The sequence below is a fragment of the Homo sapiens genome, chromosome X, assembly GCF_000001405.40.
Source record: "Homo sapiens chromosome X, GRCh38.p14 Primary Assembly".
Lineage (NCBI taxonomy): Eukaryota > Metazoa > Chordata > Mammalia > Primates > Hominidae > Homo > Homo sapiens.
This window is the reverse complement of record NC_000023.11, coordinates 153,332,938-153,360,109: the sequence shown is the minus strand read 5'-3', so window position 1 is coordinate 153,360,109 and position 27,172 is coordinate 153,332,938. Positions and strand designations below refer to the sequence as shown.

At 48.9% G+C, this 27,172-nt stretch overlaps 1 protein-coding gene, 1 long non-coding RNA gene and 2 other non-coding genes across 5 annotated transcripts, besides 4 other annotated features; all 4 read right to left on the bottom strand.

Annotated features, from left to right (window-relative positions):
- On the bottom strand, positions 1–8,081 carry LOC105373378 (uncharacterized). Its single transcript, NR_135656.1, has 3 exons — positions 7,969–8,081; positions 2,854–2,919; positions 1–411 (listed from the first exon to the last, which is right to left on the bottom strand). It is a non-coding gene; the product is annotated as an uncharacterized LOC105373378 (long non-coding RNA).
- ZNF275 (zinc finger protein 275) lies at positions 7,184–25,957 on the bottom strand. 2 transcript variants are annotated; one of them, NM_001080485.4, is made up of 5 exons: positions 25,825–25,957; positions 23,400–23,476; positions 14,489–14,590; positions 12,455–13,291; positions 7,184–12,356 (listed from the first exon to the last, which is right to left on the bottom strand). In NM_001080485.4, the coding sequence occupies exons 2-5, from the start codon at positions 23,428–23,430 to the stop codon at positions 12,337–12,339; spliced, it is 990 nt and encodes a 329-aa protein (NP_001073954.3). In that variant the 5' UTR covers positions 23,431–23,476; positions 25,825–25,957; the 3' UTR covers positions 7,184–12,336. The 2 variants fall into 2 exon arrangements, with proteins under 2 accessions (NP_001073954.3, NP_001354686.1); NM_001367757.1 differs by having other exon boundaries at positions 7,184–13,291.
- LOC124905279 (small nucleolar RNA U13) lies at positions 8,534–8,637 on the bottom strand. Its single transcript, XR_007068442.1, has one exon. It is a non-coding gene; the product is annotated as a small nucleolar RNA U13 (small nucleolar RNA).
- Positions 12,312–12,812: an enhancer, noted in NCBI's record as "H3K27ac-H3K4me1 hESC enhancer chrX:152612756-152613256 (GRCh37/hg19 assembly coordinates)". NCBI's record gives its function as "activates a minimal SCP1, AML or CMV promoter by ChIP-STARR-seq in naive H9 embryonic stem cells {active_cell/tissue: H9 hESC(naive)}" and the evidence as "EXISTENCE:reporter gene assay evidence [ECO:0000049][PMID:30033119]".
- Positions 18,085–18,379: a silencer, noted in NCBI's record as "tiled region #13180; HepG2 Repressive non-DNase unmatched - State 16:ElonW". NCBI's record gives its function as "represses a minimal TATA promoter and a strong SV40 promoter by Sharpr-MPRA in HepG2 cells {active_cell/tissue: HepG2}" and the evidence as "EXISTENCE:reporter gene assay evidence [ECO:0000049][PMID:27701403]".
- Positions 24,573–24,648, bottom strand: MIR12129 (microRNA 12129). The gene has a single exon (NR_162143.1). It is a non-coding gene; the product is annotated as a microRNA 12129 (primary transcript).
- Positions 25,624–25,703: a silencer, noted in NCBI's record as "silent region_21060". NCBI's record gives its function as "represses an Ori minimal core promoter by ATAC-STARR-seq in GM12878 lymphoblastoid cells {active_cell/tissue: GM12878}" and the evidence as "EXISTENCE:reporter gene assay evidence [ECO:0000049][PMID:35858748]".
- Positions 25,794–26,163: a silencer, noted in NCBI's record as "silent region_21059". NCBI's record gives its function as "represses an Ori minimal core promoter by ATAC-STARR-seq in GM12878 lymphoblastoid cells {active_cell/tissue: GM12878}" and the evidence as "EXISTENCE:reporter gene assay evidence [ECO:0000049][PMID:35858748]".

The window sequence follows — 27,172 nt, the reverse complement described above, 5'->3', positions numbered from 1 at the left end:
TGTTTTAAAAAACTTATTTGTTTATTTATTTTTGAGACAGTATGTCACTCTGTCTCTCAGGCTGGAGTGCAGTCAAACACATTTTTATCTCAACTAAACAAACTTCAAGCCAGACTTTACAGAATGCCTTAGGAAAACAATTGCTGAAAAATTTAAAGGAAATCTTGTGACTATGACTGCTATAGATGCTGGAAGTTTTCAGTAGTTAAGGGCAAAGAGTTTTTGAGATTTGACCCAACTGTTAATCCTAGGAGCCAGGTTCCTTCTGGAAAACACACCACTGAAGCCTTTCTTCTGGAATTCAGTTGGCTGCTCTAGGAGCATCAGGTGTCATGCTGCGGCCAGCAGGAAGTGGGTAAGTGCCCAATACAGGGACCCCAGGAGTCTGCTTTGGGCACCAGAGGGCCAGCTCTGAAAGTGAGGATGAAAATGGATCATTACATTATAATAACAGTTAGGTTTGGAGATTGTAATACTCTGTTTTCACCCTGCTGATAAAGACATACCAAAGACTGGGCAATGTACAAAAGGAGGAGGTTTAATGGACTTACAGTTCCACGTGGCTAGGGAGGCCTCACAATCATGGTGCAAGGTGAAAGCCATGTCTCATATGGCAGCAGACAAGAGAAGAGAGCTTGTGCAGGGAAACACCTCTTTAAAAACTATCAGATCTTGTGAGACTTATTCACTATCACGAGAACAGCACAGGAAAGACCTGCCCCTATTGTAATTGAATAATTACCTCTCGCTGAGTCCCTGCCACAACATGTGGGAATTCAAGATGAGATTTGGGTGGGGAAACAGCCAAACCATAGCATTCTGCCCTCTCCCCTCCCAAATCTCATGTCCTCACATTTCAAAATGAATCATGCCTTCCCAACAGTCCCCCAAAGTCTTAACTCATTTCAGCATTAACTCAAAAGTCCACAGTCCAAAGTCTCATCTGAGACAAGGCAAGTCCCTTCCACTTATGAGCCTGTAAAATCAAAAGCAAATTAGTTACTTCCTAGATACAATGGGGGTACAGGCATTGAGTAAATACAGCTGTTCCAAATGAAAGAAATTGGCCAAAACAAAGGGGCTACAGGCCCCATGCAAGCCTGAAATCCAGCAGGGCAGTCAAATCTTAAAACTTCAAAATGATCTCCTTTGACTCCATGTCTCATGTCTAGGTCATGCTGATGCAAGAGGTGGGCTCCCACGGACTTGGGCAGCTTCACTCTTGTGGCTTTGCAGGATACAGTTTCTCTCCTGGCTGCTTTCACAGGCTGGTGTTGAGTGTCTGCAGCTTTTCCAGGTGCACAGTGCAAGCCATCAGTGGATCTACCATTCTGGGGTGTGGAGGATGGTGGTCCTCTTCTCATAGCTCCACTAGGTGGTGCCCCAGTAGAGACTCTGTGTGGGGGCTCTGACCCCACATTTCCCTTCCATACTGCCCTAGCAGAGTTATCCATGAGGGCCCCACTCCTGCAGCAAACTTCTGCCTGGGCATCCAGGCATTTTCATACATCCTCTGAAATCTAGGTGGAGGTTCCCAAACCTCAATTATTTTTTTAAGATGGTGTCTTGCTCTATCACCCAGCCTGGAGTGCAGTGGCATGATCTTGGCTCATTGCAACCTCCACCTTCTGGGTTCAAGTGATTCTCCAACCTCAGCCTCCCGGGTAGCTGGGATTACAGGCTTGCACCACCATGTCCAGCTAACTTTTGTATTTTTAGTAGAAACAGGTTTTCTCCATGTTGGCCAGGCTGGTCTCGAACTCCTGACCTCAACACCTTGGCCTCCCAAAGTGTTGGGATTATAGGTGTGAGCCACCATGCCTGGCCCCAAACCTCAATTCTTGACTTCTGTGCACTCGCAGGCTCAACACCACATGGAAGCTCTCAAGGCTTGGGGCTTCCACCCTCTGAAGCAATAGCCTGAGCTGTACTTTGGCCCCTTTTAGTCACAGCTGGAGTGGTTGGGGCACAGGGCACTAAGTCCCTAGGCTGCACATAGCAGAGGGACCCAGGGCCTGGCCCACAAAACCATTTTTTCCTTCTAGCCCTCCAGGCCTGTGATGGGAAGGGCTGATGCAAAAGTCTCTGAAACACCCTGGAAGCATTTTCCCCATTGTCTTGGTGATTAACATTTGGCTTCTTGTTACTTATGCAAATTTCTGCAGCCAGCTTGAATTTCTCCTCAGAAAAGGGAATTTTCTTTTCTATCACATTGACAGGCTGCAAATTTTTCTAATTTTTATGCTCTGTTTCCCTTTTAAAACTGAAGGCCTTTAATAGCACCCAAGTCATATCTTGAATGCTTTGCTATTTAGAAATTTCTTCCACCAGATACCTTAAATCATCTCTCTCAAATTCAAAGTTCCACAAATCTCTAGGGCAGGGGCAAAATGCTGCCAGTCTCTTTGCTAAAACATAACAAGAGTCACCTTTGCTCCAGTTCCCAACAAGTTCCTCATCTCCATCTGAGACCACCTCAGTCTGGATTTCATTGTCCATATAATAATTACCAGCATTTGGATCAAAGCAATTCAACAAGTCTCTAGGGAGTTTCAAACTTTCCCACATTTTCCTGTCCTCTTCTGAGCCCTTCAAAATTTGGAATCCAACCTCTGCCTTTTACCCAGTTCCAAAGTCACTTCCACATTGTTCTGTGCAGGAAACGCGTGAAGGGAGAAGAAAAGATACACACACAATACCTTTACGGGTAAACAACCTTTATCCCATGTAAATGGCAATGCAGATATAATAAGCAAGTGATATAATAATAAGCAAATGATATCATAAGCAGATTGATACAATAAGCAAATTGCAATGGGAAGGGGAGAAGGGAATATATATATTTACACTCACCAGATTGTGGAGGATTCACCACCAGACTGGGAAGCAACATCCTGGGCTCCAGAGTTGGCCACTCATCTGTGCACAGACAAAGAGAGGTCTCATGAAGCTTTGGTGCAGTCTGGGACCCTAGCTCTTTTTGTAACGAGTTGTTTGGCATGAGGCCCAGTCACGAGGGCCCTTCACGACTGGGCTCAAGGAACACAAAAAGGTCAACTTGTTTTTGCGATTGTCTATTGTTTTTCAATGTATAGGAACAGATTGAAATGGAGATTTCTCTGACACAGCAGTGGATGAATGTCTCAAGGGGCTCACACAACCTGTTCCGGGACTTGGTGACCATTGTTTGTGTCCATGTTCAATTGAGTTCAAATTTAATATTTAACTTTTCCTCCACACACATTTTCGGGTATCTTTTCAGCAGTACCCCACTCTACTGGCACCAACTTAGTTTTAGTCTGTTTTCATGCTGCCAATAAAGACATTCCCGAGACCGGGCAATTTACAAAAGAAGGAGGTTTAATGGACTTACAGTTCCACGTGGCTGGGGAGGCCTCACAATCGTGGTGGAATGTGAAAGGCACATCTCACATGGCAGCAAACAAGAGAAGAGAGCTTGTGCAGGGAAACGCCCCTTTTAAAAACCATCGGATCTTGTGAGACTTATTCACTATCCTGAGAACAGCATGGGAAAGACCTGCCCCCATGGTAATTGAATTGAACCTCTCACTGGGTCCTTCCCACAACATGTGGGAATTCAAGACGAGATTTGGGTGGGGACACAGCCAAACCATACCAGAGATAAATTTCAGAATTATTACTGAATCTTGGAAGTTCATTCCCCGATGGTGAAATTTGGGCTTTGGCCTTGGTCATTGGCATTTGTTGCCCTTCCAAAGTGGGCTTGGTGCCCTGAGGCTTCTTGAGGTTCAGGGGCAACACCCCCAACCTCCACCATTTGGCCCCTCCTATTTGGCAGCTCCTGACCTTGGGGACCTTCTGAGCCATGGTGGAGGCCTCATCCATCCCCATTCTCCAGGCACCTGCCACTCACCTGCTACCTCCAACCAGGAGGTCAGCACCTTTGTGCAGTGGCCACCCAGAGGCCTGGGAGGGACTTTGATCTGGAGGGTCTCCTGCTGTCAGGCCTTGCCTAGGGCTCCGCACCCTCCCTCCAGCCCTTGAGCCCTCCACCTTCCTCAGGTGGGGACCTCCCCATGTCTCTCTCTTCAGGTGTGTAAAGCCCGAGGACACCCTGGGGAGTTGGGGAGTGGAGGGCCCCTTGCTGCCCAGGTCCCCAGGCCCCTCCAACCTGCATGAGCTGCAGAATCCTCCAAGTGCACCAGTTCCCCAGCTCTGTGTATTTGCCTGCCAGTTCCTTGTCTGCCTCCCTGAGCTGCTCTGCCAGGTTCAGCAGCATCATGGACAATGCCATGGGCTCTGTGGCTGGGGCCCCCTGGAGCTGGGGCTGGCCCAGTCCTGATGAGTCCTCCCACACCCGTGGACGATCTGATCCATCATCTCCACCACTTCCATCTGGGGGTGCAGGAGGTGAGGGGAGGCCCAGGCTTAGGCTACATTCTGTCCCACTTGTCCCATCCCCAAGGACATGGCCCTGGGTGGGAGAGCTGATTCCTCTCATGAATTCCAAAGACATCTTCATCCAGGGCCCCAGTGTCTGGTGGGGTCCAGGGAGATCTGCCCCACCTTACCTAGGGGGCTCCATGTCTGGGGTTGCAGCCCCTCCCAGGCTGTGGGGTCAGGGTCTGGCAGCACAGGGAGCCCAGGGAGGAGGGAGGGGCCTCTTCCCGGTTGGGGGCAGGGTGTGGTTAGGGCCCTCTCTGTCTGGGCCCCTGTGGCATCCAGCAGGTGGGTGTTCAAAGGTGAAGGAGACTTCTGTGGGGGAAGGGAGACACCTGTAGACACCAATGACAAACAGCTCAATAAGGGGTGGTGGTGCCAGAAGCCCTTGGACTGTAGAGGCCCAGAGGAAACACCTCAGGACTGCAGAATTTGCGATAGGGAAGAAAGGGATGAACAGACTTAAACTTGTGGGGTAAGCTGGCTTGTTGGAGGAGATGGGGCAGAGGACTGGGATGGACAGAGAACCAGCAGCACAGTATCCCAGGAGTGACGTAGCCCAGCCAGCTCACAGCACCCTGAGGTGCTGGCCCCACCCACCTCTGAAAGTGCTGAGGTGACAGGCCGACCTTACAGTAAAGAACTCTCTGTAGCACGGTGGGGCCTGCTGGGCTCGGGTGAGGACCACCCCTTTGGAGCTGCCTTCCTCCCCCAGAGGTCGACAGGTGCAGAGAGGAACATGGATTGGGTCCAGAAAGGCAAGGCAAGGCAAAGAGACAGGGATGCCAGTGAGGCTGATGGAACGGGGCTGGGGCAGGGATGGAGAGGTGCCAGAGAGGAATGTATTAATAAAACCCCATAGCATCTGAGGAGGGAGTGGGGGGATTTATCCACTAATGTTGTATGCATTTGGCTTGGTAGTTGTTGTGTAACCTGCCTCCACTCAAGTGCACAAATCCTACCCAGGAGCACAGCTTGGTGAACATTTACATAGGCCCCACTTGTGGTGACATTTTGGCTGCATGTCTGTTTCTCTCTGGCACTCTGTCCTTGAGGGCAGGGACCTTGTCACTTGCTTTTACATCTCTGGGGCCCAGCACAGAGCAGGTGCTCAATAAATACTTGTTGAATAAAGGTCAGAAAAGGGATGACAGAGCAGAGAGTTTTTCTGACACATCTTGCCCGAAAAAGATTTCAGGCCATGTTTTTATTATGCAGTGAGCTTTTGAATGAAATGCATTTTAGCCGAGAAGGTGCATCACATCTACTGGAGACTAGTGAGGGTGGACAAAGACACAGCTCTGGAAGCTTCAGGAAAATAAGCTGGGAGAGTATTGGGGAGGAGAAGCTAAAATGCAGTGGGCATGGAAGCAGAAGCCCCCATTTCTACCTGTTGGCCTGTCCTTCCTGTAATGAGAGGTAGGCTGGGGCGGAGGGCTGTGATGGGGAATTTGGGCTAGAGGAATCAGGGCTGCAGACACTGGCCCAGAGATTAGGGGTTTGGGACTGTGAATCTCAGGCCAGCAAGAGACTTCTAGGGTGTAGCATGTGATCTTTCCACTAATCTTGGATTTTTTAATGTTCCACCAGGGAGGAGAGCCAAAAGGCACATCCCGTTTCCTCAGATGCCTTCTCGTTTGTTCTATAGAGGGTGGTGTTGGAAGAGCTACAGTGCTCAGGCAGGCAGGGGAACTAGGAGAGGGGCAGGAGAGAATATTCTCAATCCTCTACTAGGGGCTCATAGGATTCCCAGAGAAAACCCCATGCTGTCCCCTCCTGCCTTGGGTGCAGTGTCAGCTGTCCAAATGGACCCATGCACATCTGAGACTTGCCAGAACAGCTTGCACACGTTTTAAGAAAAAACAAACAGGTAGAATTCTCAGTAACAAGCACATAATGATGCTTTTCCAGCAACTAAGTGACTTGCAAGCGGCAAGGGCTGGGCCAGGCCGGGGCAGGCATTGGCTGGGGGTGGACGCACCGGGAGGTGGCTGCCTTGCTAAGTAGGAAGCAACCGTCAAGGGGGGTGGTATCGCTCCACCCACCCAGAGCTGCACCTGGGGTAGGAGAATCGACAGCTGTGATGAGCATGGGCCCCTGCCAGAAGCCAGGGAGACTGGGGCAGTGGAGAGAGTCATGTTGTCTCCTCCTGTTGGCTCCCATCGGGATGTGCATCCCGGAGCCGGAGGGATGGGATGTCCTTCTGCAGTTGGGCTGCTGGCTCCACGGCTGAGCCGTTGGCATTTAGAAGGGCCAGGAAACTGGGGCCTGCTCCTGCCCCTGACTTCTCTGAGGCAGTGGTCACCAGGCAGAGGGCCAGCCACAGGCCACCAAGAGGACCGAACTCCTGCTCCCACCCCTATGCAGCCTAGGGATGATTCTCAAGTCCCAAAGCCATGTTATCCCATTCCCAGTCCCTGAGGGAGGAGCTGAGGATCTGGCCTTGTCTTCTGCTCCCACCTGGAATTCCGATTTGGGGAGCCCTAGCTGCGGTGAGGGGAGGCTGAGTGAAAGACCCCTTTCTGCCAAGGGAGAGCTCAGAGTTCCAGGCAAACCAGCCTCCCCATCAGGGTGCTTCCTCTTCCCTCCAAGTGCCCAGCAAGCACTGGAATAACATTCCCAGCAGGGGCCACAACAGCACCTGGACCCCAGGAGGGGGCAGTTTCCAAGTGCAAGGACAAGTATAGAACCCCATGGCATGGAGAAAGGAGCAAGGAAAGTGGTAAATGAAGGTTTGACAAAAGACGTCAAGGAAGACCAATGCCATTTAACATATATTTATTGAAATCTACTTGATGCAAGGCACTGTGCTAGATTTGGTAGGGGATCAGACATGAAAGGCCACCCCTGTCTTCTAAGAGCTCACAATTTAATGGGTGGGGGAGGGCTGAGGAGGAGGGGGTGAAGCCAAGTCCACAAACAGCTCTAGTGCAAGGCTGATTATAGTGAGTGCCAGAAAACAGACAAGGTAATGAGATGGGGGAATGAGAAAAAAGTGCCAACAACCAACGGAAATACAAACTGGGGTGGGACATAGCTATTGTTCTCAGAGATACGCAAATGACATTGAGGGCCAAGTTTAAAGAGACAGTTTCTGCTTTTCAAAGTAAACATCCAAAGTGATGCAATGAGAACTACAGAATGTAAGTACATGAGTAAGAGAGAAGTTAGCAATCCCCCCATCTGATGGACATGCTGGAAATCGTGAAACACTTCAAAAATAAGAGAACAGGGTGCACTGTGATTTCACTCATTTTATGGCCCGCATGTGGTGGGTTCAGTAAAGGAACAATATACGTAGACATAAAATCACAGGTTAAATTCACTGAGACTAGAAGGCATCGACTTTCACCCATCTTAGAGAACAGAGAACACACGTTTGAACAGGTGTTCATGCAGTCAGGTGCGACTTGGCCAGGAAGCAGCCAAGTGGCAAAACACAATAGAAAAGAGTAGAGACCCACTCAAGCTGGCTCAAGTCAAGGAGTCTGTAGTGGGGACGCACGTGGACCAATGAGGGCTGCTGCCAGAAATCCAAGAACATACCATGGCCAGGCCTTCCTCCCAGCAGGCGCCACGCTCCTCACTCCTCTGAGTACTGTGCTGCTCCCCACACCTTCTGATGCCTAGAAGCTTCTGTTTCCTTGTTTGCATTTCAGATCTGGAAGGCCTGGTGGTGTCCGTGGTCCATCATGTTCTGTCAGCTCTATGCTCTGATGATTGCTTGCTGCCCTTGGGTCAGGTGTTCAGTTCTGGCTGAATTAATATGGCCTAGAAGCGGGGTGGCAAATCACATGGTACGCAACAGGGCCACAACCCAGGGCTGCAGGTAGGGCAGGCGCTGTGCCAGTTCTAGGACAAAATCAAGCACATGGAATGCAACACCACTCAAAAACATGCCCGCTGCAATTGGGTAGGGACTATTCTGGAAATGCAAGAGTGGGGTGACACAGCTAATGGACACAGCTCATCGTAATAAGCAGCAAAAATGGTAATCAATTACTTTCTTTTGAAAATTTTCACAAGTATTCAAAACTCTAATAAAAGCAATGGAGGATTTTTTTCAAATGGTAGGAAAAGAACATATTTCTTTTTTTTTTTTCTTTTTCCATGCCAGGCAGTTAATGTGCTGACATAGTAACAAGGTTTGAAGGAGGAACATCTCATGCACGTGCGTGGAAACCCAATTGTCATGTGTATGAACTACAAAAGGATCGGGAAAAGAACACATTTCCTCACAACAGGAATACATGAGATTAGAAAGAAAACCGGAATGAGGTAGATGCATGAATGCACAGACAAGGATATGTGACAGGAAGCTGGGTGACATTTTGCATCTGACATAGCAGTACACCTAGAGAGCCCAAGGAAATCCACCCCCAAGTTACCAGAGGCAAGAAATGATCTTGGCGAAATTACAGGACACACGTTAAAGCCACAGACTGCATTGAAAGAGAACACGGGTTTCACCGCAAACACCATGAACAGCTGTTCTGTCAACCTTGACGGCAAAGACCAGATCTTTAGTGTTAACTCTAAAAGAGCATTTGTTTGGGAGAAAATTATAGAACTGAAGATGGGAAAGAGTCAAGGACGGCAGGAAGGGATGCCAAGACACCACGTCCCAGCTGGGAGCAGTGACGACTTTATGCTACGTTCTGAGTTAATGCTGCATTCAATGGGATCCCTTCATAAAAGGGATCTACTTCAATGGGATCCCTCATGAAACCCAACAAACGATAAATGAACGGGCAAGACATGGCAGAGTACTTCTAGGTAAAGGTGCCAGACTTGCCCCTGGTAGAGGTCAACCTTCTTTATCAAATGACAGCTGTACAAAACACATCCTAACAACTCGAAAAGAGAAAAAGGATCCGAGAAGAAAGTAGTGATTTCAGACACAGATTCACAACTACTGCAAGAACTGAGGCCCACAGGGCAAAAGGAATCACTATGTAACAAGTGCTTTTGGCTCCTCTCCAGCCTGGGGGTCAGGATGGGTGCCTGAGAAGCCCTTCCAAGTTGTGTCTGCTAGGAAGCTCTGCCTCAGCCTTGGTGGGCCCACGAGAAGGGCACACTTCCTTGCCAGGCCCTCCTAGTGTCCCTGTCCCCAGCCACAGCTGCTGGGAAGTCACAGCACAGCCCTGGTGGGGCTGGCTTCTATCTGTGGCTTCTGTGGGCCACTGGAGGGGCAGGTTCCTCGCTAGCCCTTGCTGCTGTTCCTCTTGGGGGAGCCCACTGGAAATGGTAGCTCAGACCCAGGAGGACCAGCTTCTACTTCTATGCCACACAGGCTTTCAGAAGGGTTCCACTGCCCTCCAAACCTTTGCTTTAGTGCTCCTCCTGGGCATGGCTGTTGCAAATCATAGCCCAGGGCAGTGCTGCCAGCTTCTATCAGCATAACGCACAAGCCATCGGAGGGGCAGGGTTCCTCTCCGAGCCTCTGCTCTGTTGCCCTCACTTAGGTGTGGCTATAGGAAGTGATGCCAGAACACATGGGTGAATTTTCCCCTAGCTGCCCACAGCAGAAGCCTATGAACCAATCTCTTTCTAGTTCTAGAGTCACCGGCTGAAAGGAGGATGTGGTCTAGGCAAGTCTTCTTGTGTCCAAGGAGATGTTTCTTGGGTGAATCTGCTGCTCAGTCACTGAATCCACTCGGAGCATTGCCAAGGCTCCCAGGAGCTCAAAGGATGGCTGGGCTGCTTGCTCCCAGACCAAGTTTGGACCACTCCATTGATCTAGGTGAGGCCAAGCCCCACTGCTGCTGGCGGGGTCTATAATGATGAGCAGTCACAGAGTTCTGGCTAATCTATGATGGGAGCATCTCCAGTGTGCCGCAGTGGTCAGGTTGGATAGTCAAGTGGTGCCCACAGATAGACAGGGAGTCCGCATCTCGGATGAGGAAAGAGCCTGCTTCTCTGGCCCATTTCCATCCAGCCTGCCCACCTGGTGTACTCACCTTCTGATGGGCTGGGGTTGCAGCTTTTTGTTTGTAATTAAAATTCTAGAGAAAATGTCATCATATCTAGCTACAGAAGCAATGAAAGTTATGACTGAGTGGACAAAAAATGAATGCTTGGATATGTAAAAATTAAAAGCTTTCACAACAAAAACGTAATAAAACTGCTACAAAAAGCAAAGCAATAAAATTGGAAAAGAGAACATCACCATCAATATAGAAAGAACTGCTACATAAAGTTAATATATCCGAAGGTAAGTTGATAACTAGTCAAAGGAGATGAACGGACCATTTGCATGCAAAAAACAGAAACACCATTTAAGTCATCGCATAAGAGAAAGATGAGACTGGTGGTCAGGAGGCCTGGGGTCTATCCCCAGTTCTGGAATTGACAAGCCACAGAATGACGGCAATAACTATGACAATGACAATGACAGCAGATGGCCTTCACTGAGTGTGTACCTCCATACCAGGCCGGTGGTCCTGGCACTCTGCAGCCACGATGGCAGTCCTCGTGATAACCTTCGGAGGTAGGTGCTGTGATCACCCCTGTTTTATAGAACAAGAAACGGAAGGCTGGAGAAGTACCATCTAGGCCTGATACCAGGAGAGGCTCATTTCCAAAAGGAGGCGTCACCCTGCACTTGAGTCCTTGAGATGTATCTCTTCTTAGGGGCATGCTCTCAACTATTTTATTTTGAACAAAATAGTGCTGCTTGAGGACAAGACCCATTAGTTCAAAACAACCCCAATCGATGCTAGTTTTGGATATGTATAGGGGACACCAAATTGAAATGGTTTAAGAAAAAAAGATACCGACATTTAACCCAGATTCAGTAACTGTTACTAGGCGTTTGGCCTCACAATGACATTTTGGGTGCTTTAAAAGAAAAGACGTTTAAAGGTTGTTTGAAAAAGTATGACCTTAAGTGGTTATATTGTACAGTCACAGGACAGATTAAAAAACGACAAGAGAAATCGTCCTAATGTTCTGCAAATATGGTCTTATGGCTTGGGAGAAAATTTCTAATGAGAGCCTCATGAAGGGATCGTCACTGAGCGACCGTGCAGAGCTCGGATGGAAGTGACTGGGTGTGTCTTGAAACTGTCTGATGACTCAAACAGGGTTCCCATGTTGGTGAAGACGGTGAGGAGTCAGAGTAAAATGATTTCGTGAAAGGGAGGGTGGCAAAAATGGGGTATTTTCTAAATTAATATATTATTTTATATAATATGTGATTTACAGTATGTATGTATAACTAAATTAATAAATTAAATATTTTAAGACATTTGAGTGTTCTATTTACATCCCTAAAAATTTATAAATTCAAGTAGGCCAAAAATCATGAGGGCAACGTTCTCTTCAGGAAAGCTGGGATCACATTATGAGGACGCCATCGTGGAACAGCTCTGTGTGTTTCTCTGGGGCGGGGGGAGCTTGGAGTTGATGACCTCTAAGCCCCTCCCTACCCCACATCCAGATTTGTCCTCTCTCATTCTTGGATTCAAGGCATGTGGACTGAAATACCTTGATGGTACTTCCTACCAGTTAAACTAGCCAAACTAAGTTAAATGGTACAAGCTACTCTTGATGGGCATAACGTAACACTTATAAATTGCTGGTGGCAGTATAAATCGGTCTCAACCTTTTGGAAGACAAAATATATAAGCGCTACAAAACTGTTCATCTCCTTTGACTCTGCCATCCCCTCTGGGGACTCCGTCCCTGTCCCGCGGGACCACAGGGCGTTTCTACTCGTGGTGGGTTGGCTGATGCTTCTGCAGTGCCGAGCGCCTCTTGAACACGCGGCCACACTGGCTGCATTCGCAGCGCCGCGCCCCACTGTGGATCCGCCGGTGGCGACTGAGGCCGGAGCTCCGGCGGAAGGCCTTGCCGCATTTGTCGCACTCATAGGGTTTCAGTCCGCTGTGGATGCGCCGGTGCTTGATGAGGTCAGAGGGCCCACGGAAGGCCTTGCCACACTCGCCGCATGCGTAGGGCCGCTCGCCACTGTGGATGCGTGCGTGCTCCAGGAGGCTGGAGCTCTGGCGGAAGGCCTTGCCGCACTGGCCGCAGGCGTAGGGCTTCTCGCCCGTGTGGATCCGCCGGTGCTTGGTGAGCTCCGAGCTCCTTCGGAAGAGCTTGCCGCAGTGGGGACACCCGTATGGCTTGGCCCCACTGTGGATGCGCTGGTGCTCGGCCAGCCCGTTGACCCCTCGGAAGGACTTGCCGCAGTCGTCGCAGTCGAAGGGCAGGTGGCCAGTGTGCATGCGCTGGTGCTTGAGAAGCTCCTGGCGATCCAGGAAATCCCTGCTGCACGCCTTGCAGGCGAAAGGCTTTTCCGAAGTGTGAAGTTTCTGATGTCGGAAGAGGTGGGTGTTGACTTTGAACGACCGCCCGCATTCCTCGCAATCAAAGGGCTTCTCTCTGCTGTGGACCCTCAGATGCTGACTCAGGCCTGCATTCTTCTTAAACCGTTTTCCGCACTCCTCGCACTCGAAGGGCTTTGCCTCCCTCTCCATCTGCTCCCTCTTCTCCGCGGCATTCTCCAGGGCCCTACTGGGGCCGGGCTGGGGCTCCGCAGCTACGTGGCTTTTCCTGTGCTCATTAAACTCCGCCACCCCCCTAAAGACCTTCCCGCAGTCGCCACATTCCCAGCCCTTCTCCTCACTGTGGACTCTCTGGTGCTGGACAAGCAGGACTTTAAGCCGAAAGGTGTCCCCACACTCTTTACAAGCAAAATGATGTTCTATGGGCAGATTCTGTGGGCTCCCTCTCTTCCCGTCAGAGTCCCCGTGCTGTCTGAATTCAGGACTGGGACCACTGGCCCTTGGGAAGCTTGTGGACGCCATCTCCTGTGGCTGGGCATCTTCCCCCTTCATCTGGTGTCGGGTCGCGGAGGTGCTTTCTGAAACGATAAACACAAGGCAGTGTAGTCTGCAGAGGATGAAGGAGGGAAGGGCCTCTCCTTTGTCAAGAATCTTTTTCTTTCTGAGACAGCCACTGAGCACGGGGCCTGGGCCCGGAAGCCACCAGAAGCAAGGACTGCAGAAGCCAGGGGCAGAGGGACCTCATTCTGGACACTCTCTACCACAGTGGTGCTGAGGAGGTCACCCCTTCTGTGACCAGAGAGCAGCCACACACGTCCCCAAAGGCTCAGCTGGGTCCCCCAACCCTAACCTCAACCCCAAGAGCTCAGCTGGGATCCCCAAACATAACTTGAATCTCCAAAGGGCCCTGCTGATCCTCAACCTAACCTCACCATCAAGAGCTCAGCTGGGGCCCCAAACCCTAACTAGAACTCCAAAAGCTCAGCTGGGACCCCCAACCCTAACTGTAACTCCAAGAGCTCAGCTGGGATCTCCAAACATAACCCGAATCTCCAAAGGGCCCTGCTGATCCTCTCAACCCTAACCTCACCGTCAAGAGCTCAGCTGGGGCCCCAAACACTAACTAGAACCCCAAAAGCTCAGCTGAGCCCTCCCAACCTTAACTTCAACTCCAAGAGCTCAGCTGGGCCCCCCAACCCTAACTTCAACCCCAAGAACTCAGCAGGGCTCCCAAACTTAACCTCAACCCCAAGAGCTCAGCTGGGGTCCTAACTTTAACCTGAATGCCCAGAGAGCCCAGCTGATCCTCTCAATCCTAACCTCAACCCCAGGAGCCCAAATGGGCCCCTCTACTCGTAACCTCAACCTCAGAAGTTCAGCTGGACCCCCTAACCCTAACCTCAACCCCAAGAGCTCAGCTGGGTCCCTCAACCCTAACCCGAACCCAAGAGCTCAGCTGGAACCCCCCAACTCTAACTCAAAACCTCCAAGAGGCCAGCTGATCCTCTCAACCCTAACCTCAACCCCAAGAGCTCAGCTGGGCCCCCAACCCTAACCCAAACCCCTGAGAGATCAGCTGTTTCTCTCAACCCTAACCTCAAGCCCAAGAGCTCAGCAGGGCCCCCAAACCCTAACCTCAACTCCAAGAGCTCAGCTGGGACCCCCAACCCTAACCTGAAGCCTAACAGCTCAGCTGGGCTCTCCAACCCTAACCCATGCCCCATAGCAGCTTGGTTGGGTCTCCCCCAATTTCCTCACATTTCTTTTTCACTCACCAGAGTACTTAGCAGGATCAGTGTTGGGCGATGGGTCTGACACCAGTAGCACTTGTCCTTGTGCCAGGTGAGGGACCAAGGCAGGATTTAAAACAGGAACGCCTGCTCATGGGAAAGGAGATTGGTTATGGCAACAGCCAGAGATGACATGAGAATAGTGGAGGAACATAGGCAAGGCCTTTGAAGGGGAACCCCCTTCAATCTTCAAAGACCAGGCTTTAGGCAAGTCATTCATTCAGTTCAAAGGTGTTTCCCAAGGTCAGGCTCCTTCCAGGAGCTTGAGGAAGGCAGCCTCTGGGCCCACCTTGGGGAGGCTCTGTGGAGTATCAAGTGGCCACCCTGAGGAGGTGATCTTCACCCTGTCTTCTCTCTGTCCACCCACTCAGAGCTCACACATTTAACTTCATGCTCTTCCCAGACACGTGGACTTCGACAGCTCCCAAATCTGACTCCCAACGTCTCTCCTCCTAAAACCTCCTCCCCACTGCACACATGCAGACCCCTAATGGGTGAACAAGATCTTGATCACGTCAACCTTTCTCACAAATAAACTCAAACCAAATGGCCATGCAATTTGCATAATTTGTGCATTAAAATGAAAAGGGCATTCTACATTACAGTGGCAGTGTTCTAATTTCTTTCCCAGTAAAAGACTGAGAGGGGTTCTTTCCATGCCAAGAGGAGTTGGGGGAGCTCATACTACTCTGACATATCAGGTGTGGCAGACCCATTGTGTTTCCCCACAACCCAGGGAGAAGGTGAGCTTCTGTGGGGGTAGCCATGTGTCCCCTGCCCCACTCCAAGAAGGTGGTGAATTTGAGGAAGGGCTGGGACATCCTTACCCACAGAGGTCACGTTCCCATAATATTCCAGTGCCCTCTGTTCAGGGTCCAGCTTAAACCACTCCCTTGTGGTGAGGTACCATGCCACATCATCAAATGTCACCAAATCCTGAAAGAATTCCCAGGGCTCATCAGTCTTTCCATCTATTTTAGAATGAGGCAGGGGCAGCGCCAGTAATGCCAGGGTCAAGAGGTGAGGGTCTGGAGTGGGTGTCTGTTGCTAACATGGAGGCCTAACCACAGCTCCAAGAAGTCCTGAAAAGAGAACCTGATCAAGCACTAGGATCCCTGGGCCATGGACCTGGCCTCTCGTCTTTCCAAGGGACCTCCATTCAATCACTTTCCTGGATGGAAACTCAGCTTCCCCACCTGGATGATTGGAACTCCAAGCCCAGTGGACATCCAATCCTTGGCAGCCTCCAGAAGAGAAGCAGAGGGAGGGTAGGAAGGCAGCAGCTGGGGTTCATACTCTGCCGTGTGTCATGCTGGGGCAAGAGACAGAGGCTGAGGCCAGATTCAGGGAGCGGTGAGAGAATCCCAAGCAAGGCAGAGGGAAGCACAGCTCACCTAGGCCTCTGGCATCTCAAGAGGGACTGCCAGGACCTGGTTTCCTGGGGCTCCATCCTGGGGAGGGTAAGACCTTGGGGAGTAGGTGGAACTAAAGAAAGTGAAAAAGGCCATGAGTGACGACAGCCCTGTCCCTGGATCCCCTGGGAAGAGACTGGTGATTTCTTCTTCCTTGGTTTCTGATCTTGTTGAGTCTTCTCTCACATGCTGGCTGAATGACAAGCCAGGGCACGGAGATGCCTGAGAAAACACATCTTGAACAATGGGGAAAGTAGCCTGGCAAAGAATGAACAGAGGCAGGCCAGAGGGAGCCAAGACAAGACCAGCAGATGCCAGCCCAGGCACAGCTAGGAGAAGACAGACCTAGACAGAAAGCCAAGGGCAGGGAGACTGGCAAGCCTAGAAGTCCATGCTGATGCTGCACAGGAAGGAGGCACACCAAGATCATCAGAAGAAATAACCAGGAAATGAGAGACCCTTTCCAACTTTGTAGAGGCAACAAAAAACCGGATGAAGATGCTGGAGGGAAGAGAGCAGGAATGGGGGCTTCTAGACCAGCAGTGAGGCCCTTAAAAGCCACAGCCCACTGACACAAGGAGCCCGGTGACAGCAAGACAGGTACACATGACAGCAGTTCTCTAACGTGTTCAACCCAAATGAAAAGTGGAACAAAACAGCTGGAAAAATAAGCCTCAAAGAAAAGATCTTCAAACACTAAATTGTTAAATAAAAGAGCTGAATGATTTGTACAAATTATCTTCTTCTTCCAAATTGCAAAATATGTGAAAGATTCAACCACCGGCATCCGTGCATCACAGGCCTCCCACTTCAGTGAATTCTAAGAAACAGCTACACAGTTCCTGTTGTGATGACAATTCAATTCAATTCAACTCATAATTCAGTGAAAAGGAAGGCTCTTACACTGGCTCAAGGCCCACAAAATCCAGCTACTCCAGAAAGACTCTTATATAAAATTAAAGATGTTATGTGAAAAAGAATGGACAGAAACTTCCACGTTTGGCTGCGATGGAGTAACAAGGAACAGATTTCACATCGTGCCATAAATAAGTAGAAAAAAATGGAGAAAATATATGTGAAACAAGTTTTCAGACACTGGACAGCAGGAAGCACAGAATCATGATCCCCAAGAGAAGAGAAACAGATGACGGGAGCCCTATCATTGCCCCAGCTCTCTGCCTGGAGGCAATTTCCAGATCGAGACTGTGTGTTGGGGTGGGCGAGAACCAAATAGAGCTTAGTGGCTTCGCCAAGTTGAGGAGACACAGGCCAGCATTCAGAGCAGCTGAGGCAGCTGGAAGTTGCAGAGCAGAGTTCCAGAAAGGAGTTAGTTATGCAGTAAAAAGAGCTTCAAAAAATCTGTATAAGCCTCCCCTTGAGTCTTTCCTGACTACTAGGCCCATGCATGCATAGAGTGAAACTCCAAAAGCCCAGGAAAAGGGTGACCAGGAAGCTGTAAGCTGAACAATTCTCAGGACACACAAAGGTAGGGAGACATTCAAGGTCTGATCAACCAGTATAGAGAGTCCTCTGTGATCACCTGGGACATGCAGCAGAGAATCCAGAGGCCTTAGTAGTAGGGCTGATCTATTCCTAGAGCCAAAGCTACAAAAGACCTGTCTCAAAGAAAGCTTAAAAATAGGCCTCAAAGGGATCATACTGATCCACAAGTAACTACCACCCCAAATCCAGACACTCAATAATATAATCTTTATAATACCCAACATCCAATCAGAAGTTACTGAAACGCCAAAAAGCACAGAAATGTGGCCAGGACAAGGAGAATAATCAGTTAATAAAAACACACAGAAATGACCAGTGATGACTCACAGACAAGGATAACAGCGAGTTTAATGATGTACAAGCATTAAAAGAAAAACAGGAATATAGTGAGAGAAATAGAAGATATAAAAAGAACCAAATGGAACTTCTGGAGGTGGGAACTATGATATTTAAAGTGAAAATTTTACTAGATGTGATTAACAGCAGATTAGATACCACACAAAAAAATTAGAGAACTTGATGACATAGCAATAGAAATGATCTCAAATGAAGCTCAGAGAGAAAAAGAGTTTTTAAAAACAAACAGCATCTTAATGACCTGGGGTAAGAGAAAGTGGTCTAACACCTACATAACTGGAACCTGAGAAGGTGAGGAAAAGTGGGGGGAGGGATGAAAAATACAGTTGAAGAAATAATGGCAGGACAGTTTTCCAAATTTGATGAAAACTGTAAGCTCACACGTCCAAGAAAGTCAATCAACCCCTAGCAAGACTTTAAAAGACCCATAATAATCAGACTGCTGTAAAACCAGTGATAAAGAGAAAGTCTTCAAATAGCCAGAGGAAAGAAATGATGTTGCTGCGTGGAGAGGAGCAAAGAGTAATTACTAACTTCTTATCAGAGAATGTGCAAGTCAGAAAACCAGTGCATGACATTTTTAAAGTGCTAAAAGAAAAACAAAACTGTCAACTTAGAATTCTATATTCAAGGAAAATTTCCTTCCAAAATGAAGGCAAAATAAAGTTTGTTTTCAGACAAAAGCTAAGAGAATTCATCACCAGCAGATCTCTATTATAGGAAATACTAAAGGAAATCTTTCGGGTTGAAGGAAAATGATAGTAGGTGGAAAGATGGATCTACACAAAGGCATGAAGAACACCAGGAATGTAAATATGTGGGGAAATATACAATGCTTTTACCCACCTCACTTTTAAATCTTTTAAAAAACAATTAATCATTTAAAGCAAAAGTAATAAAAAGGTAGTGTGGGGTTTATAACATCAGAAGTAAAACATATGATTGTGTGTTCTGACAAGTCCTCCAAGACTCTGATACATGCTAATAAGCCAACAGCAGAGATCAAATATGTACTAAAAATAATCTGAAAGAAGAAAGGTAAAGAAAAAGAGGGGAAAAAAGAATGGAAGAGGCAAATAAAAACAAATAGCAAGATGGTAAACTTAAACCCAACCACGTGGATAGTTAAGGTAAGTGTAAATGGACTAAACACTTCGATCAAAAGGCAGAGATTGTCAGGCTGTAATAAAAACAAGACATACTGTCTACAAGAAACTTTAAATATAAAGACACAGATAAGTTAAAAGTAAACAGATGGAGAATGGAAAACATGATACTAGAACCAACAGAAAGAGTCTAAAAAATCCCAATGTCATAAAAAAGTGGGGGAAAGAATGAATGACAGATGTGGCTAAGAGCTCTGGAGACACTACCAGAGTCCTAGAACTCAGCAGGAAGAAAACTGGAGGGTTTCAATATAAAACCAACAGGTGCCAACGTAGGATGATGTGCTGCAGATGACAAAAATGTGAATCCTTCGTAGATGATACAGGCAGACATAGTTACTTCTCCCTTGAAAACCTAAAGAGGGTAAGGGAAGGGGAGGGGAGGAGATGGCTAAGTATATATTTGCATTTTAGGAGAAAAAAGGAAAAAAGTGAGAGTGACTTGTAGCTAGAATAAGCACATCTCTAATGTGTATGTGACCACATGGGGTTGGAGTTGGGGAGAGTCAAGGTCTAGAAAGATCTGCTTTCTTTTTCTGTAATGTGAGAATTTTTAGTAACCAAGCTGAATTTTCTTGGTATCAGAAAAGCATAACAATTGTAAAATATTTTGCTTTTAAAAGACTTTGAGTAAGAAAGCTGCTCAGCATGTGAGAAGCCAAGGGCTGAGGCCAAGGAGTCAATGGGGAGCAGCCCTTCTGCTTGGGTAAAAAACCCAGCATTTCCTGGGATCCCTACACAGCAAGGCAAGTGCAGGGGAGAAGGGCTGGCAGGAATCTATGGGCGGTCCATGAAGGGAAATGACCAGAAAGCCTAGAGACAGGCCCCTGGGGTTGTGACTTCCTGGGCTCCTCCCTGCAAGCTATCAGCACCTAAGAAGTGCGGGCAGAAGGCCTCATCTAGCCCCAGAGTCCAAGGCAGCCCCATTCCCATCTTTAACTGGCTGTCTGGCACAGGGGCTTCCCCAGTGTGAGATCGTGTTCATCCTCGGGTGCTCAGCAGCCACACCCTCTCTGTCCCACTGTCACCCGGGCAGGGCCCTGCTGGTCCGTTGGATTCCTCTGGTATACATTCGATGTCTGATTTGACTTTGGCTTCCAGTACAAAATGAACTGGTCATGAATTACTTACACAATTCATTTAAAAAAATTCACTTCCAATTGACATTGACGTTTGGCTGCCAAACAGAATGTAGAGGGGGATATTGTGGATACACCTTCTGAGAAAGAGGACCTGTTAGAGACCTCTTCTCGCTGACCTCAGGCCAGAGACCTAAGAACTTAGCCTTCTGACAATGCCCTGGCCCAGCCCCCCAATTCCTTATCTTGCCCTGCCACATCGCAGTGACATCCAGACACACTGGCCTTCATTCAATCCTCGATAGGCCAAGACTGTGGCCTTCAAGGCCTCTGAAACTGCTGAGAATACCATGGGCTTCTCATGGATGGCTCCTTCTGAGAATTCAGGCCCCAACTCTATTTTTATTTTTCTGAGACAGGGTCTCACTCTGTCACCCAGGCTGGAGTGTAGTGGTGCCATCACAGCTCACTGCAGCCTCAACCTCCCAAGCTTGTGAACCTCCCGCCTCAGCCTCCTGAGTAGCTGGGACTACAGCTGCGTGCCACCATGCCCAGCTAATATTTTAACTTAAAAAAAAAATTGTAGAGATGGAGTCTCACTATGCTGCCTAGACTGTCTCGAACTTCTGGGCTCAAGCCATCTTCCCACCTCAATCTCCGAATGCTGAGACTACAGGTGTGAGCCACTGCGCCTGGCCCACATCAGGCCTCAACTCTAATGTCACCTCCTTAGAATGCCTTCACTCTCTAGTCCCCGTCATAGTCTACTTGGAACACTTTTGCTAACTAAAAACTATCCAATGAAATTGCTTGTTTCTAACTGACAGTGCCCAGGAGATATGGAGCTCCAACAGCGCAGGGGCACTTTCTCATTCTTGGTCACTCCTGAGTCCCCAGTGTCTGCAGCAGCTCCTGGCCCTGAGTGGGTACGTGATAAATTGCGGGGTGACTGAATCAATGTGTGTGGGGAGGGGCATGTTAAATGGAGCACACTTCCATCCCTGGAGCATGCACTACACGTGTTTGGAGACATGCATCTCCCTTCCTGTAATTCACTTACCACATCCTGCGGTTATTACCGCCTCCATTCACAGAGAAGGAAACCAGGGCTCCAAGAGGTAAACTTGCTTAATATCTAGCTCCCAAGATTTGAGACTTTTCAAACCACACCAGAGAAGAGTGAAATAATATCCAACCTATAACACCACGCCACAGCCAGAAGACAGACTGGGGGTGAGGCTTAGTGTCATCTAGGCCTAATGGTATATATGGGTGTTTGGGTGCTGCCTTTAAACCATCCTGTTAACATGCCCTCACTGCACAACGAGACATGCCATTCCTCTCTCTCTTTCTTCGTCTCTCTCTGTCTCTTACACACACACACACACACACACACACACACACACACACACACACACACACACACACAGTCCTCCCAAGCCACCCACATTTAATTGAGTGAATCCTCCTGAAGTGTTCAACTTAATCGGGCAAATCCTACTGAAGTGTTTTTACTTAATTGGCATGATTAACTGTTGAAATCCTGGAGCCACAACCCCCAAATGAATTGTTAATAATCCTTTCCTGTGCAGCAACAGGAGTGCCCCTTCCTGTAGCAGCTCATGCAGGGGACTTAGCCTGAGAGTACTTTAGCTCTCAGTGGCTGCGTGATCACCACCCACAGTGACAGAGCCCTGGACACGGAGATCATTTAAAAGGTACTCATAAAAATGGGAGGAAAGAAGTGGGCCCTGCTTCCACAAAAGGAAACGAAACTCTGCATAATTAATCAATCAAGTATATCAGGTAAAAGAGCTGCATGAGAAGCAAAGGAAGATCATTAAAAAAAGATAACACATTAATCCCTACTGCAGTTCAAAATAAAATTATCATCAATCCTAGAGACAATCGGATCATTTAGGGTCCATGTTGCACAACTCTTCTATTTTAAAATGGTGGAACTAATCAGGAAAAGAAGCTGGATGCTGTGACAAAAGTGACAAACGCAGGTGTCCACTGCCTTCTGACAGTGGATCTTGGGGAATCAAGGTCGAAGGAATTCCAGACAGAACATGAAAATCATTGTAATGCACACCCAATGGACACACAGGGTAATGCTGACCCTGAAGTGAGGCACTTTCACTCACAGCACAAAAGCATGTCCTGAATCTCATAGGGTGCACTCCTACATACAACTGGGAAATATGAAAGCTCAAAGAAATACTGTGGAAAAACACATTTCCAACCCTTAACGTAAGTGGTATTACTCTCCTTCTTTCAATGGGATCTGAAGATAGTCTAAAGACTATAAACTCCCAGAAAGCAAAGGCCCTGTCAAGGTCAGCTGTGAATTGCACACTGGACCTAGGCAAGCACCATTACACTGCAGCTGTTTAACAAACATCTGCTAGAATAAATGGAAAATAGTGATGTCAATGTCAACCTACTGCCTGATAATTTGAAAAATTATGCTTTCTAAAACATGAAAGCTCATGTGAGTGAACAAATCTTCCTGCTAACGTGCTTTAGATCACAATGTAAATTTTAACCAACTTATTTAAATCAAATTTACTGCATGGAAACAGAAAACACTAAGAGTCTCAAAATAATCATTCCACTTTGATGTGGAAGAACAGAAATGAAGAGTTGAACTCAACAGAGACAAAAAACAACCCACGTCACAAAATGTAGTAATAATGAGATGTTTTCTGGTTGCCTTTGGATTAAGAACATCCCTGCCTCACTGCTGGATGTTTGGCTACTGGCTAACGGTAGCTTCTGAGCCTAAAGACCAGCGTTCAACTGATTTTATCGCACAAATAGCCAAGCAACATTCTCTAACAGGTGCGCTGTCCTTCCCTGGGCAGGGGAAAGGCAGCAAGACCACCCAAATAAGGCTCCTCTGGAAGGTTCCAGAAGCTTCCAAGGGGTGCCAGAAACACCTGGACTCTCTGAAGCATCTAAATAAAGACCTGGAGCAGAATGTCCTCAGGCCCTAAAGCTTGAGTTTACCCAGAAGACAACAGGTGGCTTGTGTTCTGCTCAGTTCTAGGCCAGAGCAACGGGTGTCTTCAAAGGTTTCCACTCACAAAAGATCCAATTCAGATGGATGCCTTCAGCTCCCTCTCCCATCCAAAAGGGAGATTAGACTCCAGATTCTCTTTCCTGAATATCTTTTCTCCTGTGAGTTGTATTGCTTGGATTGAGAGAACTGTCTCTGGGCAAAGACAGTTCAGCAACAGTGGCACAGATGAAAATATAAGTGCTTCCGGAACCAAAACGATACTCCTCACCATGTTGTAACCCCACCTATAGGGTCTTCTGATAGCATGCCCAGCGTCAAAGCCAGCAGACACCATGCATAAACACCCAGACTTACCCAAAAGAGACACACACGGATGACTCATCATGCCTCAGAACTACTCCAAGGGATCAGCCTGGCAGGTAAGGCCCCATCTGTTGGATTGCAATAATTCAGGTGAACAGAAGCAGACCTGTGTGCACCTCCCAGGAACATGTCCCCCACATTTTGGGGGATGTACTGAACTGGGCCAGATACAGGGTTCAACTGAATATATACTGCCACGATCTGGATCCACCCTAGCCAGGCCAGGATGCAACCCTTGAGCCAAGCCCTGGGCCACGCTGAGCCTGGCCTTCATGTTCTTTCCACCTGACAGGCCAGGAGGCGGAAGTGAAGGCCCCACGTGGGCCCATCCCGTCCCGTCCCAAAGCAGCAAACAGGCTGCTACTCGAAGTAGCAGAATCCTGAAGGGCCTAAAGAGAGGGTGTCTCACCAGGAAAGTCTGTCTCTCTTGGGGTATTTGTGTCTGTGTGTGCCTTTTTCTGTATGTGTGGGTGGGAAGGCATCTGTTTCCTCTCACTTTGCCTGGGCACCTGTCTCTTTCTGTTTGGGTTTCTATCTTATTTCCTTTCTATAAAAAGCCAGAAGGTAGACCAGAAGGGGATTTTGTAGTGTTTGTTGTACTTAATTGAGGAAAGCTTTGTGTTCCCATTTCTCCAAGAAGATTCATGGCATCTTACTAAAAATCGAAATAAATTTTAAGTATAGCTTCCTTTAGGTAACATCGCCTGGATACAAAGGTCGAAATTGGGGGTGGGGTGGGATGCTATGCAAATTGCAAAGAGCCCAGGGCCATCCAAGGAGCCCAGGCAGGTTTGGGTAAGGGCTGGATCACTGGGTGAGAAAGTTGGTGTGGAGTTCACTAAGAACTCATGTGGGAGTTTCGCAGGTTTGGGAGAGACCAAGGAGTCTGCATTTTTCAACAAGCACCCCAGGAGATTATGATGCAGAGCTGCACCTCCTTAACACTGGGCCTGTCTAGAATCTGGAGGTTCCCAGATTCTCCAACTCTCAGAATCTCTGTTACTGACAGGATTCCTGCCCAGGAACCTGCTGAAATGGGAGCCCACTATCTCTGAGTCTGTGCTGATGGTTAGAAGAGAATTCACAAGTTCTGGTAGATTTCCAAGGGGTCCCTCACAGACAGAAGGCTGCAAATTACTGCTCAATAGGGTTCTATATATAAAACTCAGTGTCTGACCCAGTTCAGTACATCCCCCTAGTAACATTTTGTGGGGATGTACTGAACTGGGCCAGATACTGTGCAAGTGGCTTCTACTTGAAGGTCCAATGTTGCAGGGTTGGGGGAAGGTGAGGGTGGGGAGGGGCTGAGGCAGCATTAGTACCTAGGGGAGGTGCTGTTCCAGCAATCCCATCTGAAATTCTCTTGTAAAGGAAAAATGTCGGGCTGAGGTTGAAGAGGAAATGTTTCATTGACTAAGGAGACTGGAGGGGGCCGCATGCCCAGCTAGGTCAAGGCTGGCTGGAGGGCTTCAGTTGGAACAAGGTGGCAGGGTGGGACCTCTGGGAAGTGGGCCAGGAATGGGGGCAGGGGGTTGTTTGAAAGGGACCATGGACTTTGGGCGGCAGGCGAGTGGGGGGTGTGTGTGGAAAAGATATATAATTAATCACCCAAATATAGACTGGAGGAGCCAGCAAAGGAGTTTAAGGGGGCGGGGGCACTGAAGTGGGAGATGGCGGCCCCCAGTAGGGCGACAGAAAAAGACTGGTTCAGACAGAGGGCCTTGAGCTCGGCTCACCGCCCCCTTTCCCCTGCCTCTCCACAGCTCTCTCTCTAGGCTACCTACCGGCCCCCATTCTCCCCACCAAGCTGAGGCTTAACCGCCCCCCCCCACTCCCACCCACTCAAAAGGAAAGGAGGGACTCCCCAGCGGGAACTGTTCCCACCTGGCCCACCCTCCCAGCTCCCAGACTGCGGCTCAGTCCCTCCCCTAGACCAGGGAAAAGTCCTTTAACCCCCACCCCTACAATGCCCCCTCCAGATCGGGCTCCTAGGAGCTAGGGGCAGGGGTCCTTTCTCTCCGCCCCTGAGCGGTTCCCATCTCCTAGCGTCCCCCAAAGAGCAGAGCAGGCCTCTACACTTTAGCGATTCCCACCCGGGATCGCCGCCCCCCGCCCGCCTCGGGAAGGCCTTCGGGCCTCTTCGTACTCGTCATCCGGGACCCGTTCCCTGCTCTGGCCCGCCCAAGGCCGAGCAGCTCTCCAACTGCCCAGAGACGCCCCCTCCCTCCACCGTGCACTCTTCTGCGGCCCGCACACTCGCTCCAGCCCCGCACACAGTCCTGCACCCCCTGCACATCCTCTCGCGGCCCTGCACGCTCACTCAGGTCCACACGTCCTCCTGCCGCCCCCACGATCACCTCCGCCCTGCGGCCCCTCCAGCGCCCCCCGCACATCCTCCCGCGGCCCGCACACTCACCCAGGCCCGGCGGCGGCCGACGCGCGGCCCTCGGTGGAGCGGCGCTGGCGCGGCCCAGGCAGGCCTGGCGTGGCAGGAAGCGCCACGGAGCCGCCCGTGCCCAGCCGAGCTAACAGCCCCGCGGCGCGTTTCCGGAGCCGTGAGCGCCGCCGGGGGTTCTGAGGGAGCGAGGCCCCGCCCCGGCCCCAGTCTCGTCCCCGATTGGCCCGGGAAGGGGGCGTGGCGGGAAGGGGGCGGGGTTTGGGCGGGGGCGGACTGGGCAGGCAAGTCTGATCAGCCTGCGGGGGAGCGGCGCGCGCGGGCTGGACGCTTGGGTGGAGGTGGGGAGGAGTGGAATGAGCGTGCGAATGAATGAATGAACGAGCGAACAAATCGACCAGCAGACGAAGGAAGGAACGAAGGAATGGAAGGGACCTCTCCCCCTTGGGCATCTTCAAGATGGTGGTGGGGGGAGTGAAGGGTCGGGAACTGAGGGCGAAGACTGGAAAGCCAGTATTCTGTATGAATGGAATCAGATCGTATGTACTATTGTGTGTCTGGATTCTTTCATTCAACGTGATGTTTTCAAGATTTATCTATGTTGTTGAATGTGCTATCGCTGAGTAGTATGCTATTGTTTGGATATATCAGAGTTGGTTTGTTCATTCACCAGGTTATGATCTGGGCTGTTTCCAGTTTGGGCGATTATAAATAAAGCTACTATGAATATTCATGTACACATCTTTGTGTGGACATATGCTTTCATTTTTCTTGGGCAAATACCTAAGAGATGAATTGCCACATCACAGGATAGTTTTATGTTTTATAAGAAACTGCCAGAATGTATTCCAAAGTGGTTGTGCAATTTACATTCCCACCAGAAATGTATGCGAGCTCCTTTTCTTTCCCATCCTCATCAACATTTGAGGTTGTCAGCCTTTATTTTTAGCCATTTGAAAGGGTGGGAAGTGGCATCTCATTGTTATTTCAATTATCATCTCCCTGATGACTAATTATGTTGAGTATGCTTTTATGTGCTCACTGGCCATTTCTATATCTTTCTTTGTAAAGTGTCTGTTCAAGTAGTTTGCCCAATGTTATGTGCAGTATATATATATGTATATATATGTGTGTGTGTATATATAGAGAGAGAGACAAAAGAGAAAGCTAGCCCATTATGTGCAATGTGTGTGTATATATGTGTGTGTGTATGTATGTATATATATATACACACACATGTAGTTCCTGAGAAATTTTATGTTTTCAACTTTCATTTTAGATTTAGGGGGTACATGTGCAGGTTTGTTGCCTGGGTATAGTGTGTGATGTTGAGGTTTGGGGTACGAATGACCCTGTCATCCAAGTACTG

Coding starts and splice junctions, on each gene's coding strand:
- ZNF275 (NM_001367757.1), bottom strand. CDS start 23,430: ATGATGAGTCATCCGTGTGTGTCTCTTTTGG. Junction 14,591..23,399: donor TCCGTGTGTGTCTCTTTTGG/GTAAGTCTGGGT, acceptor TCCCATGAGCAG/GCGTTCCTGTTTTAAATCCT. Junction 13,292..14,488: donor TGATCCTGCTAAGTACTCTG/GTGAGTGAAAAA, acceptor TTATCGTTTCAG/AAAGCACCTCCGCGACCCGA.